This window comes from Homo sapiens, chromosome 8 (genome assembly GCF_000001405.40).
Source record: "Homo sapiens chromosome 8, GRCh38.p14 Primary Assembly".
In the NCBI taxonomy this organism is placed as follows: Eukaryota; Metazoa; Chordata; class Mammalia; order Primates; family Hominidae; genus Homo; species Homo sapiens.
Window position 1 is genome coordinate 109,117,242 of NC_000008.11, and position 15,346 is coordinate 109,132,587.

The following is a 15,346-nucleotide window of genomic DNA, read 5'->3' on the forward strand; positions in this document are numbered from 1 at the left end:
AGGAAGGAGCATGACCTTTGTCTTAAGTAGACAGATTTGAATCACAGCTCTGTCACTTACTACTCATGTGTCTGTAGACAAATCATATAAATTACCTAAACCTCAATTTCTTCACATGCAAAATGAAAAGAATACTAGCTTACTCATGGAATTACTATAAGTATTAAATAAGATAATGTTTATATGGCATTTTTCAGATTACTTGGGCCATCTTAAAGGACTAAAATGTGATGGTATAGATCTAATTGTAAATTAAACTAGGTATTTCAATGTAGGATGCTTTACCCCTGACAGGGAGTGGGAGAATGTTGACAAGTGTGAAGCAGTGATCTGATTTCAGAGTGCCTGGAGTACCAAGCAGAGAATAAAGGCAAGGGTGTGGTTCATAATGACGAAGATCATGGTGATGATGACAATGAAGATGATAATCACTACATCTCCTTCCAAAGCTTAGAACATTTATCACTTTGATTTCCTATGACTAATTATTTACTTATATATATTTTTTAAAGTCTACTTAGGAAAAATCATGTTTCAGTTAACCCCTTTGCTAAGTAGACCCTCTTTGGCTCTAAAAGAAGTCAGAATCTCTGGAATGTCTTAGTTGGTATTATATGAACCAGTGTGAAATCACATATTCTCACTGAACAATTTTTCTACTCCTAGTGGTAAGATACGTAGCCTTAATATCCTACATACATTGAGTCAGAATGAAGCTCAGTGAACAGTGAGCAATCTGGGATATTGACCTCATCCTACCTATTGTCTTACTTCCTGTGCATTGCTTATACTTAGGAGTGGCTTCAGCATTAGGTAAAATTCCAGCATTTGCTTTCTCTCTCTTTCACTTCCCTTTAACCTGAAAGAGTGCAAAAGCTTTGAATTCAAGCTCACTTGGACAGTAATCCCAGCCCTGAGACTCTACAGCTTCCACCAAAGTACTTAACAGCCTCTGTACCTGTTTTCTAATTTGAAAAAGTAGTGGGTACAATACCTATTTTAGGAGGTTTAAAACTTTTTAAACATGGTAACAAATAAACACCTTGGATAGTGTCTGGCACATAGCAGTCACTAAACATTCAATAAACACTGACTTTTTTGCATTATTCTTTTCATGCACTGTTACCTCATTTGATTTAGGAGGGCAATGTTGGCTCCATTTTACAGATGAGCTATAAGATAGGTTAAGATAATTTCTTAGGCCACACATAGGGTAAGTAAGGAAAGGATTTGACCCTAAGTCTCCTAATGCTTGTCACAGACACTTTTGGTGCCCTGTGCTAACATTCTCTTACAAGACTCTGATTTCAGCCATAGCTGCAGTAGATGGTTCCTGCAGTGGGAAATATCCCACTTCAGGCATCCACTGTACCATTTGTCTCTCCTCTTCTTGGCCTCAAGTGTCTCTCTAAAGGCCCTAGGAGTTTTCAGGCAAGAGAATCCTGGAAGTACACAGGAGTTAAAGTCCTTAACAATATCCTTTAATGAATGGACGCTGGCATTCATTCTCTTACTTCTGACAGATAATTCTCAATTGCATTACTTGAGCCAGAGTTGGCTATAGGGGGAGCTATCTCAATAACACACTGCTTTGGCTTTTCCTACTTTGGCTTTTCCTTGTCTATAGCATTCTAATTGATAACCCTTAATCCTGCTTCCTGGGATCACCTCCCCAATAAATGACCTGCACCTAACTCCTTGTCTCAGACTACATTTTGGGAACTAAAGGTTTGGGTGAGAGAAGAAAGGGGGTTTTGTTTTGTTTTCATTTGTGTTTGTACAGCATTTCTCTCTATTTCTCCCTAGGTCACCAAGATGCTGGCAGTGGTTGTAATTCTGTTTGCCCTTTTATGGATGCCCTACAGGACTCTAGTGGTTGTCAACTCATTTCTCTCCAGTCCTTTCCAAGAAAATTGGTTTTTGCTCTTTTGCAGAATTTGCATTTATCTCAACAGTGCCATCAACCCGGTGATTTACAATCTCATGTCCCAGAAATTCCGTGCAGCCTTCAGAAAGCTCTGCAACTGCAAGCAGAAGCCAACAGAGAAACCTGCTAACTACAGTGTGGCCCTAAATTACAGCGTCATCAAGGAGTCAGACCATTTCAGCACAGAGCTTGATGATATCACTGTCACTGACACTTACCTGTCTGCCACAAAAGTGTCTTTTGATGACACCTGCTTGGCTTCTGAGGTATCCTTTAGCCAAAGTTGATTCATGAATTAGAAGAAAATGGATGACAAAGAAAATGAGAATCTGTGCAGTCATCAACAAAAGGGAGAACATGGCCAATAGTCATATGTGAAGACAGAGCAGATCAGTCTTTGTCAATGCTCTAACAAATTCTGGCCCTAGATACTTTAACCCATGAGGATGATTCAGACTTTCCTTCTTACAAACTAATATCACTAAAAATGGAGCAGATCTGTGAAATAGCTAAATGATGGAAACTTAAAGTTTAGCCCTTTTCATTTAACTTAAGAAATTCACTATATTTTCTGGACTTATAGAGTTTCAATAAAATCTAGACATCAATTTACATTATTCATAGTAACCTTATCAAATGTCACTTTTCAACTTCCCTAATTTATTTATACATTCGATAATTTGACAACATGCAGATTTTTAAATGTTTGCATTTAGTATTCATTTTAACATAGTACAGGGCTAGTTCATGAATATCTGAAATTAAAGGGAAAAATATTACAGAAACATTTTATTTATTGAGTAAAAATAAGATTTTAGACATACATGTTAACTGTATTTTAAAAGTTGCCATAATGTTTATAAAATTCTGAGATGATTTTTATATCTTAGAAGGTAGATAATCATCACTCAACTTTAATGTAAAATAAACCTCAAAATATCTGAAATTATTAATTAAGGAGAAATGTAGATTTTAAGATAAATCCAACTCTTATCAACTCTTCCAGCCTCCCACATGATGGGTGGAAAAAGGCAAAAGCCCAGATTAAGTAACTGTGAAGATACAAACTAACATACAATTAAATTTGAAAAGTATAGTCAAGACAAAGCAAGTATTTATAATTAGATTTTGCTTCTTCTCTGACGCTTTTAAGCAATAAAATCTTTTTGAACATTCTTGTTTATAAACTACTCAGCCATGTCAAGCAAATCATTCAAGCAAAATCTAGCTGAAAAGTCTGAAACATTCTTAAAAGCTTTGTTGTTATTCTAAGTCAGCCAAAATCCTGGTATCCCTCTTCCAGATAAAGAGCTCCCACTGAGAATTGTAGTCTATGGATTTTACCTTGACTGCAATTGTCTTTCCTTCCTATCTGCTTGTTGTTTGTAGGTTCTTTTTTTGTTTTTCTCAAATGCTAGTGATATTTTGTTTACAGATTCTAAAAGCAATGCAAAATTCTGTTGGCTTTATTTTCAGCAGAGTTAAAACTGATTTCATCATATTATCAGTATGTCATCTTTATATTTATGACTGACATCTGCTATTCCAGTGTTTATTGGAGACTTGTGAATGAATCTGTCCAGGACACTTGTCAGTTCCTACCTGAATCTCTTACCTATTGAGATTTGGCCAACCAGAATCTCCGAGGGCAAAAATTGCCCTTGGTGATGGTTCAGTAGTCATTGATTTTTAATGAGTAGATCAAAAAAGTACCCATACCTTTACATGCCCGTAGGCTGTCATTTTCCCTCTCCAGCCTATATCCCTATTTTATGGACTTTTCTAGAACCTAATCGCTAATGATAATTATGCCTCCCCATCTTCTTAATGAAGAATATACCATTCTTCTGAAACTTGTTTTTACGTGCTGTTTCATGGAGACTATGCTATCCAGAACCTCATTCTAGAGTGCGCTTTTTTTTTTTTGAAAATTGGCCTTATCTACTCCAGCAAGACATTTTTATCCTGTTACTATAACAGTAAATGAATGCAAGCAAATATTTGCAGGAAATACCCTAAAACCCTACCTGCATGACAGTAAGCAATCTATGTTAACTGACTTTTCATTCTGGTATAAATATTAATCTTGGCATCATATAAATAGAGCACCAGAGTGACCCAACCCCAAATCACACAAGCACATGTGTGTTTATAAACACATACCCACATGTTCATAAATTGGTGAAAAAGGGGATTGGAATATACGAGATTTTTTCATTACAGAAAGGACCTAATATCATTGAGCATCGACTATGTCTCAGGTATGCTGGTAGGTAGTCAATCAACATTATCTTCATCACAATTTCACTACAGCTGTAATTTCTCTGATGATTAGACCAGTATTCCTGTGACCTAATTCCTAATTAATAAAAAGTTATGGATTTTGCAGAATGATTATATCAGGTGTTAAAAAATACAATTAGTTTAACATGATATACACAGAATACAAAGATGCTCTTCTTATCTTTGGAAATTTAATGTATGGGCTGAATTCTTTCACTTTAATTTTTAAAAAGTTATTTCTCAAAAATCTGTTAGTTTTAGACCACATGGGAAATTCATAAGAACTCAGTTCATAGTGTTTTAACTCTAAAGCAAATGCCATTTTAAAATTAAATGTTCCTATATAATGTCCAATAGATATTTGAATTTACACAGAAGAGATATAACTTTTTAAAATATTCTTTATCACACTATACTCAATCATAAAATATTTCCACAAATAATCAAAACTTAATATACCACCAAATGAGAAATAAAGAGCTAGTTTAAAATTTGCTGGTGAAATCAAGTAATGTTATTAAGAGCCCTCCTTAATAAAAATTCCCTGTGTTCTTTTGTTACTTCCAATTTCATTAATTGCTGAGGGTCTTTGGTTAGATATCATACCTGAGGTAATTGAGTAAAGGGCACAGATCATGAATAAAATGAACAAACATAAATTCCCTCTTAGGACCTAAGGGCTGTGAGTATATTTCTAGACCTTAACATACAAGGCAAATATTCTAAATGCTGAAGAAAAATAAGACAAGTCCAAACTTTACAGTCATTCTTAAACAAATTGAATGTACAGAACAATACACCCTGATAATATACCAAAATTAATGGCTGATTTGGCTAAACAATTAGCAATGTCAAAGGAAAAGCTACAGCCATAAAACTTAGTTTAGTACAACTAAGTCTTGATGGATATTTGAAGTGTTTTATTTTCAGAAGACTATGTTGGAATAATAAGAACAACATGTCTTAGTAAAAGTTGGGTCAACATAGTTTTGGTTGGCTCTTCAAGAATAAAAGAATTTATATCATTCTAAACTATGTTAAACCTGTAAACATGATAAAGAGAAAATATTAACTTTCAGAAGGAAAAGATTTTATGTGGTTAACCTGTCAATGTATAAATTCTATAAATATTATATTTAATATCATCTTTACTTCTCAATTGCAATTAAAACAGGGATTGGAATATTTATATATGAAGTAGGGAAATTCAATGTGAATGAGAGTACACCTAAGAAGAACTAGTCAGATCCAGAGTCAAGAAAAAATGTTTTCAAATGTTTTAAGTCACTCATTCCCCTAGGGGGAAGCAAACATGAATATCTCCAGCAATTTATTTCTTATGTATCCTTAGCTGTCTACAATAAATAGCCATCAAAACCAAGATTTGACTGAGTCAACATAAGCTTTCAGAATAATACACATGAAGAAATCTTACAGAGTTCTGTGGTCATAAGTATTTTTCTCTCTCTTCCCTCTCCCCACCAAACTCTCATCACTCCACAATCATCACTATCCTCATAGCAGGAAGATTCATCTAACTTCATTCAAGACTAAACCTGGACATGAAATATCTTAAGTAAAAATACGAATGTTCTTTCAAACATATTTATCTATAAAAATATGTCATTGTTTTGCAAACTTTCATTTTCATAAAATCACTTTTAAACATAGAAAAACTGATGCTTTAAATTAGAGTTCTCTTTATGTCCTCATTGACATGGTAGGAATCATGTACAGAGTTGAGAAGTTGGCATTTTAGAGGTTTCGATCAGAAACTAATCAAAGAACACTCAATATGTGCAAAATTGCTGCAGAAATTTGTTTCAGCAGACAAACTCTCCCCTTTCTTATGAAGCTCACAATCCTACAAGAAAAAGAAGACCAACATGTCATCACCTGAAGATATAACTGTTTGGCAATATTTAGAATACAAATCTGAGATATCAGAAATATAATTTAAAGAAGCAATTGTTAATGGTCCATTTGAAATATCATAAGATGACTTTTAATACAAGAATCAATTTTGCATATTCTCATTGTACTTTATGGACTCTAATGAGAAGTATCTGTTAACTTAATTCTTCACTGATTACACAGGAAAATAAGGTCAGATAAGACCCTGTACTATTTTTCCGATATGTTCAGTCTATAAGTACAATCTCATCACTCAACAGCAAACCTCATTTATAGGAGTTTCACATCAGAGAACAATTTTGTTACTGACATGGTTAACACCAAATGATGACAATGTTGACATAAACTAAGTCTACAGGGTTCTGCTTCTAATATTCCAATACAGTGCTCCTCCATATCCTCCGGTGATCCATTTCAAGACCCCTAGTGGATGCCTGAAACCGTGGGTAGTACCAAACTCTGTATATACTATGTTTTCTCGATCTGATAACCAAGATGGCTACTAAATGACTTGCAGCAGGCAGGCAGAGTGCACAGCATGAATACAGTGGACAAAGAGAGGATTCACGTTTTGGGTCGGATGGCACAAGATTTTATCATGCCACTCTGAATGCCTCTGAATTTAAAACTTATACATTGTTTATTTCTGGAACTTTCCATGTAATATTTTTGTGTAGAGGTTGACTGCAGGTAACTGACACCACAGAAAACCAAACCAAACTGTGTATAAGGGGCAACTATTGTAACCTCTTTTGACAAGAGGGATCATGAATGTGTGTGTACAATGTTATCGCGTCTATTTACATTCTTCTACACCAAGCACATTCATGATAAAGCCAATATAAAGTTATTAATTCATATTTTGGAAATGAAATCTGGAAAAATAAAAGAGCTAAATGAAGTAGTACAGCTAAGACAGTACACTGTCCAGAATTTTCAAACATGGATCCAGCAAGGAAACAAAGGATAGTTTTAATGGCCAATAAACAGTGAATTCACACTGATTGCCTGCCTGGCCTCATGAAGAAGCATCTGGGTTAAGTCCATACTACAGGCTCTCAACTGGAATAATGGAAATGAAAGTACTTTGTAAATTATAAAAGTTGAAAGAGTGGGATAAAGAGTGGAGTCAGCTGGAGCTCTTTCAGTGTATTTGAGCCCTGAAGCAGCACCCATAAGTGGTTATTTCATTCCTCACAGAATAATGAACTTAATTATTGTGCATGTGGCTGTTTTCTGACTTCCAGAAAAGAGAGAGTATGAACTTCCTCAAGAATGCCGTGGACTGATATTGATAAAGATGGAGGCTTTGGATAAAAACAGAAATAAATACAAGGCAGCAGAGTAAGACTCCATCTCACCAGAGATCTGAATTCAGAAGTCAGTAAGAACATTATATTCCTGAAATGGCATAAGATGCCCTAGTAAGGAGGCCAAATATTTAATTCCTAGCTAAGAATAATAAAACATTCCTGCTTTCATATACATAAGAGTTACCTGGGAGCTTATCTTAAAATGCACTTTCTTTTGGTCTTGCCCTAAGAAATTCTCATTTATTAGATGATTTTGATGCCAATAGTCTTCTGAGCACACCTTGAAAATCACTGAACTCAGGCCCTCATATAGAGCCTTCAAGGCTCTTACTTATCACATAATTCTTAATAAGCAACTAAACGGAAAGATCCTTGAGGGTAAGTCTTTTTCATCTTTGTATTCCACAAATTATCTAAACTATTATTTAGTTAATTATTTATTATCTATTGGATGATATCCCTAAATATCTGTAAAATGAATGAAATCAATCCCAGCTCAGAAATACATTCTAAACTTTTGATAATACCCAATTTGCCTATAGATCTATCTTCACAATCAGATAACTCATTGTGCTTGTTTTATTTTTTAAATAGTTTTCCTGGCTCATTGAAAGGCACTGCATGAAGTATGCCAGATGATAGTCAGAACAATCCCTTATGTATGTAACATGCATGACAATTTCAATGGTACTCTCATGTCCATCATCCAATTTAATAATGAGAAAAAGGAAGACTAAAACATTGTTTCTGTTTTCAAGGAGATTACAATTTAGTGATAACATATTAACACAGAAACATGCCAGAAAAAAAAGAACACATAATTGGAAGCCAAATTGTATGATTTCAGACTATAAACAGCTGAGTTCTTCAGAGGGAAGGGGGCTTCCATGGGGCTTGGAGTCGTTAAGGAGGGCTTTGTAGAGAAGGTAGGACGTCCTTCAAGGATAGATTTCATTTAGATAGTTAAAGAAAAGATAAACCGTGTGAGAAAAATAAGATGAGTAAGGAAAGGAGACATAAATCAATCTTAAAGCAAGGCTCTTGATATTAAGAATGTATATCCAGAGCAAATCCAATTCATCAGGGATTGATTAAGGAAGGCAGCTAGTCCAAAAAAAAAAAAAAAAAACAAAAACAAAAAACCTGACAAAGGAAGTAAGGGACCAACCTGTACTTATATTTGGTGAGGAAATGTTCACTCATTCACAAGAATATAAAGTAGAAGTGTATATAAATCTGCTATGTCTATTTTGTAAACTTTGTGAATTTCATCATCTATAGAAAATACAGTATACTATTTGTCTTATGTTGTAATTCTAAAAGTATTCTTATAGTCCTAATTTTCCAAGTGAAAAATATATGTATATATATTTATCTTTTTTCTATATTATATTATCATATATTTAAAATATTTATATATGTGTATATTATTCAGGGGTCCTAAATGACTCTGGACTTATCCAATTATGCTACATATAGAGATCAGAGCTAGCTCAGGGACCTATGCCCTTCATGAACCTAAGCTTCAACATTAAACATGAAACTGAGAAACATGTAGTGATTAGCTTCAGGCTACTGTGATAACATTGTTGACTTGCATGTTGCTTATGATGTGTCTTGGAATGTTTTGGCTTCCTTCTATCAGCTTTAGAAAGTTGTATGCTGACTCACTTCATCATTTGGGAATTAAACATTGTGTCCTTGTGGGGCAAACACTCTTTTTTAAGAAAGTGCAGTATTATGTGCTTTACTGTGAGAAACTGTGTGTCTGTTCCAATATTGTATGGTGAGCAATAAAGAATCAAACTGAAAGAGCTGGCTCTTTAGCTTTCTTTTTCTTCCAAATTATTTCATTTTTGGTGTGACTGGACCTTAAACCACTTGCCCCAAAGAATTCATTTTAATTCAGTGCCACTCACATGTACCACTGGTGGTTTTTCGAAATAATGGTAAGTAATACACAAATAGACATTTTAATTTTAATAATAAATTGAATGTGTCCATCCCATCCACTCCACTTAACTTCCCATTCTACTGATACATTTATTCTAAAAGGTGAGATAACGTAGACAAAGCTATACAAATAAACCACTGGGGTAGTAGCCACTTGCGGTTCCTCATGCCGCATCTCCTCTTTGGTCCCATGATTTCAGGACAGCTATGGTAGACCATTCCATATACATTGCCATTCTCCCATCTTCAGCAAACTAAAGTAGCAGAGTGCTCCCAAGCTGTGTTACATCACTCAGTATAAGCACAGGTAGCCAAGGATTTCAAGGGAGTTAATGCCCCTAGGGACACCAATCAAAAAGTGGGGAATAAAAACCAATAGAAAAATGTTCCAGGCTCTTATCTTCTAATGGAATATTTCTGAGGCATCTTCAAAATGATTCTTCAAAAGGTCCTCAGCATTACTGAGCCCCTATTCTTCATACTGGAAACCAACTCACATACCCTTCACCAACTTTTCCGCCTTCCTTGTCCCACTACTTGAACTTCCTCACTTTTACAAAGTTGAAAATATTGTAGGTTGAAGATGTATTTAATACACCTAAACTAGTGAACATTGTAGCTTAGCCTAGCCTGCATTAACCATGCTCAGAACACTTACAGTAGCTTATAGTTAAGCAAAATCATCTAACACAAAGCCTGTTTATGAAAGAGTGCTGAATATATCATGTAATTTATTGAATACTGTACCAAAGTACAGTTTCTACTGAATCTGTATTGCTTCATACCACAGTAAAGTCAAAAAATCATAAGTATTATGAATCAAACTATGGAAAGTCAGGGAACATTTGCATTTCCAATCAGAAGTTGCTTTCTAAACTATAGAAGAGGTAACATTGCATATGTATGTCAGTTAAAATACTTTTAATATAGCACAAATTTCATGAATTGCAGAAAAAAATAATTGTTTCTCTATACTCCTGAACCATAAACGATCTTGTTATTTCAACTTAACTTTGTTCAAATTCTCCCCTGTGTAATTTATAAGTATTTTACTCTTATAATATAATAATTGCATCTGTAAAATAGAGATAGAAACACGTCTAATTCATGAATGAATTATGAGAATTAAATTAAGTTACATTTAAAAGTAGTTATAAGATACAAGGCCCATAGTTTGCACTCAACATTTCCTAACAATTACTAATCAGACTCAATAAAAGGAATTCCAAATATCTGAAGCCATAAATACTCATTGAGAAATGCTGGGTACAAGGCACCTTCCTTAGTGCTACAATAAGACAAAAGAGGAAATAAGAATTGTCCTCAAGAATCTTACAATCTAGCTGAAGAGACCAAATACATACATTTTAAATTTAGGTAACAGTACAAGGTTTAACTAGCAGTCTAAGACACCAGGAGAAGAAAAAAGGAAGTACCTGATAAATTCCCCAATCATTAACATAAACAATAATGGTCATGAAATTTCAGAAGAGAGAGATAAATTACTCCAGTCTAAACTAGTATCTTATTTTGTTACCTGCTACAACAAAATATCAGATCAGGGTAGCTTATAAACAACAGCAATGTATGTCTCACAGTTCTAGAGTCCAGAAAGTTCAAGTCCAAGGCACTAGTACATTTGGAGTCTGGTGAGGGCTGCTTCCTAGGTTCATAGCTGGTGCTTTCCTGTTATGTCCTCACATCGCAGAAGAGCCAAACGGGCTCCCTTGGGCCTATTTTATAAGGACACTAATCCTGTTCATGAGGGCCCCATCCTCAAGATTTAATCATCTCCCAAAGACACCACCTAATACTAGCACACTGGTAATTAGATTTCAACATATGAATTTGGTGGTGGTAAGGAGCCACAAATCTTCAGATCATAGCAGCTAGCAAGAAAAGACTTTGAGGAGGCAGTGAGATATGTGCTGAATGTTAAATGGTAGTAAAATATGAAAGGGCAGAGAAGGTATGGGGTGGAGTAGACAGAAAAGGAGACATTCAAAAAATGCCTGAGCTAAAGTAATGAGAAGGAATAAGATGGTGTGGAGACAGACAAGTGAGATAGAAACTGGAAACTTGTTTACCATAGAATATCAAGAGTAGAATAGATCTAAAGTCAGGTAATGCTCATTCAAAAAAGGAAATTTAGGGCCAGATGCAGTGGCTTACTCTTGTAATCCCAGCACTTTGGGAACCAAAGGCTGGAAGATCACTTTAGCTCAGAAAATTGAGACCAACCTGGGCAACACAGTGAGATCCCATCTCTACAGAAAATTTAAAAAGTTGCCAGGTATGGTGACATGTGCCTGTACACCCAGCTACTCAGGAGGCTGAGGTGGGAGAATAGCTTGATCCCAGGAAGTTGAGGCTGCAGTGAGCCATGATTGCACCACTGCACTCCAGTCTGGGCAACCAAGTGAGAACTTTTCGGGAAGGGAAGGGAAGGGGAAGGGGAAGGGAAGAAATTAAGAAAGAAAGAAAGAAATTTAGCTGGGCTATGTCTTACTTTCAAACTAAGGTATTTTTTCTGAAAATATAAAGCATGATAATAATAATAACAGTTTTTTGCTTAACTTTTTTTCTGGTTTAGAATAATGGTAGTAGTATCTTGGCAACTTTTCTGTAAATCTAAAATTATTCCAAAAGAATATGTTTACTAAATAAGTAAATGTTGGTAATAGAAGTCCAAAAGAAAAGTAGTTTGATCTAGAATATTTCTCCTATAAGGCCCCAGATTATTTTGGCACTAAAGTTTTTTTAAATTAACCAAATGGCAAAATTATTTAAATTCTCTTTTCAAAATGACCAACAATGCTCATAATTCTTAAATCATAATTTGAGTGCAGCAGGGCTTTTATTGCAAGGATCTTTTTGAATGACTATCCCTTGAGTCAGTCAGTTTCATGTTTTCTTATGTAGCAATATAAGCCAGAAAAGTCCATCTCAATTCCAAACTACACACACACACGCACACACACACACACATTGCCAAATTACAGAATTTTCAGAAGTATAAATCATAGGAAGCACAGGGTCAACACAAACATCTTTCTTCACTTCATACACACATTTATTCATCAACTAAAATATATAACCTACCTACCACTCATGACTTTGGTTATGCTTTTCCAATATGAAATGGATACCAATTGACTCCATTTCATTAGCAGTTTCTAATTTCATTTCATTAGCAGTTCCTAATGACTCTGGCTTTGCCAAGTTGTCCTCAGAGAAACTCCATCACTGATGATTAAATGGATTTCAACTTTTACCCCACACTCCATACCTTGAATGTTAAATGTCTCATGCCCTCGGCTATTATGACAGGTGACATGATTGTGACAACTTCTAACTTTTACGGAAGACTAACTCTTGAGCTGAAAAAACTCTGAAAAATAGGCAATAATACCAACAATTAGAATAGTTGTTTGGTTAGCTTCTAAGTCCTATTTGTCATGGTTGGATAGATGTGTACAAAACTATTTTGAGACATTACCGCAACAGACAGATAAAGAGAAGAAAAATAGAATTTAAAAAAGATCAATGAGAAGTCTTCCAAATAGCACATTCTGGGTTAGATTTATTGGGGGAATGGTTTTTAAGAGTTTAATATTAAATATTTCATGTGAGTACCATTACTTCATTCACAATCAGTCATTTTCTTAGGGAGGAATGCAATTGGCCACCAGAAGGATCTGAGACAATTGAAAGAATCTGTCCCTTTGCTTGGCATATTGAACACATTGTTTTAATGCCAACATATGAAGGATGTGAAAACACTGATTTCCATGGCCAGGTGGCAAACTACAACTTGGGCAAATTGGGTTGTTGCTGAGTTTGCCATTACTTATTGATCATCTAGGCTATATCTCATGATGCCCTTCTGCTTGCTGATCAGAAATGGCAATGAAGATGATTATAAAATAATCATTCTATAATTATAACAGTATAAAATACCGTTCTTTAATTTCTTATGTCAGTTGCATATATTTGGGATTTTTATCAAAATTTAATATTGCCATGGATTATGATTGACATGATATAGTCAAATAGAAGAGCTAGAGGGTTTGGGACCTAGCATCAAAACTGCTGCCTACATGAAGCAGACACTAAGAAGAAAGTATTGAGGTGATGGTCATCTATCTGTGGAAGCAGAGAAAGAATTCAGTCCAATAGGGAAAATGTCAAACACATAATCAACTGAAGGCAATAAATAAGTAGTCAGATGGAGACCATTTATAATTCCAGGGAATTCTCCAAGACTAAACAGTGTCTGTGCTTAAAACAATTGACTGTGCCTTCTGAGAATGTAAAATTAGTAAGCATTTCTGTCTTGGTTTTATGTGCTTTGTATAGAGGTGATATGTAATGGCCCTCTCTTCCTCTTCTCAGCCTTGAGTTTTATTCTCCTCTTCCAAACCATCTCAACCCCTACACCTCATACCCAACACACAACTCAAAGAAGTAAAACTTAAAGACGAGGGTGAGAATATTTGTTTCAAACATTTCTTGATAATAAAATATACCAATCATTTAGTAATTTTCTTTTCTTAGACTGAGTCAAAAGTGCCTGCTCCAAAACCTCTGGGACAAGCTGCTGCATCAAAATGTCACAGGAGCTACAAGCTTATTTACCATGATGGCCTCAAGGCAGCTTTAAAATGTCTTCTGATCTTTCTCATCATCTTTCTCTTTCTTCTTCTCTACCTCCTTCTCTACCATTATTTTCTTCCTATTCATTCTCTTTCTGATCCTTCACAGAGCGTTATTTAAAACATGGTACTAAAACATCAGGGAGGGACAAAGTGGGCTTATTAATAGAGATTCTTCATGCTTTAATCAAGCAATATTTTCCTAAACAGGGAATATTTCCCAGAAAAGATTCTAAAAGCTTATTCAATTTGCCACTGTTTTGATCAAAAAAAGCAATATATGTCAGAACTTAAATCTATAATTTTTAACATTAAAAACACATAAACATAAAGCTACACTTTCTCTATATCTGTTATTGCAGATTGAAGTAAAGATCTTTATTCAATTAAAGATTGACTTTATATATTTAAGGAGGATTAATGGATACATTGATGAACAGATAGATAGAGAGATAGAGAAATAGATCAACCCAGCCAGACAGATAAGCAGATATTATTTGAATATTTAAGTTGCTAAACAATGACTTAAATGCTCTTTAAAAATGTTTTTAGGGTTACTCTTGGCACACTTTTTCCTCCTACTATTCTCACTACAAGTTCACTTTCTAGAAGTCTCATCGAAACTTCCACAAGTTCATAAGTTGCCTTTCAGACATCCCTCATCTTCCACTCTCACCCCTCTTGCTAAAAAAAGGCAACTAACTCATTCCACACACTATCATCTGCCAGAAGCAATTTCTGCATTTGTTTTTTATTACCACAGTAGGATTTCACATTCTGCAAGCTTCCATTTCTGAAACAACACAAAACAAATAGAAAAGTTTATCTCATCAGATTTTAGAAAAAGTCATCAGATGCAAATGTGCTGAAATAATGGAAATGCAGCAAAAAGAGTGATCTCTGCCAATAATTTGGCATTAATGCAAAGTGCCCTAAGGCAAAATGTAATGCCTCTGTTTTCAAGTGAATTGAAATCTGAAGTCCCAAATACATATTTTTACGGTGTGAAACAGGAGGAAATGTAGTTTGTATTCCCCTGGACTTCACCAGCCTATGGGCATAAACTAAGTCACATTAAGGTTAACATGCAATTTCACTGGGTGGCTAACCTCCCTACCTAAAACAGAGAACCTCAGCCTCCCCTTCAGATATTTCCTGCAGGGTGGGTATCACACTGCTCAGGGCTTATCTTGTTCTTCAACCTCAGCCTCCTTTTTGACTCAAAGCCACAAAAGGATAGCACTTCTTGCTGCCATGGCTTCTGGTTCCCCTCATGATAATGCAGCTTTACCCAAGGAATC

The 15,346-nt window shown here is 35.1% G+C and overlaps 1 protein-coding gene across 1 annotated transcript in view, besides 1 other annotated feature; it reads left to right on the forward strand.

The window, feature by feature from the left end:
* TRHR (thyrotropin releasing hormone receptor) overlaps window positions 1–4,324 on the forward strand; it is a 34,981-nt gene extending 30,657 nt beyond the window's left edge. Inside the window, exon 3 of the mRNA NM_003301.7 lies at window positions 1,807–4,324. Within this exon, the coding sequence (NP_003292.1) occupies window positions 1,807–2,214 (408 nt within the window). The 3' untranslated portion in view covers window positions 2,215–4,324. The remainder of the gene's footprint in view (window positions 1–1,806) is intronic.
* Window positions 15,146–15,346: a silencer, noted in NCBI's record as "peak7149 fragment used in MPRA reporter construct". NCBI's record gives its function as "represses an SCP1 promoter by STARR-seq MPRAs in K562 erythroleukemia cells {active_cell/tissue: K562}" and the evidence as "EXISTENCE:reporter gene assay evidence [ECO:0000049][PMID:32103011]".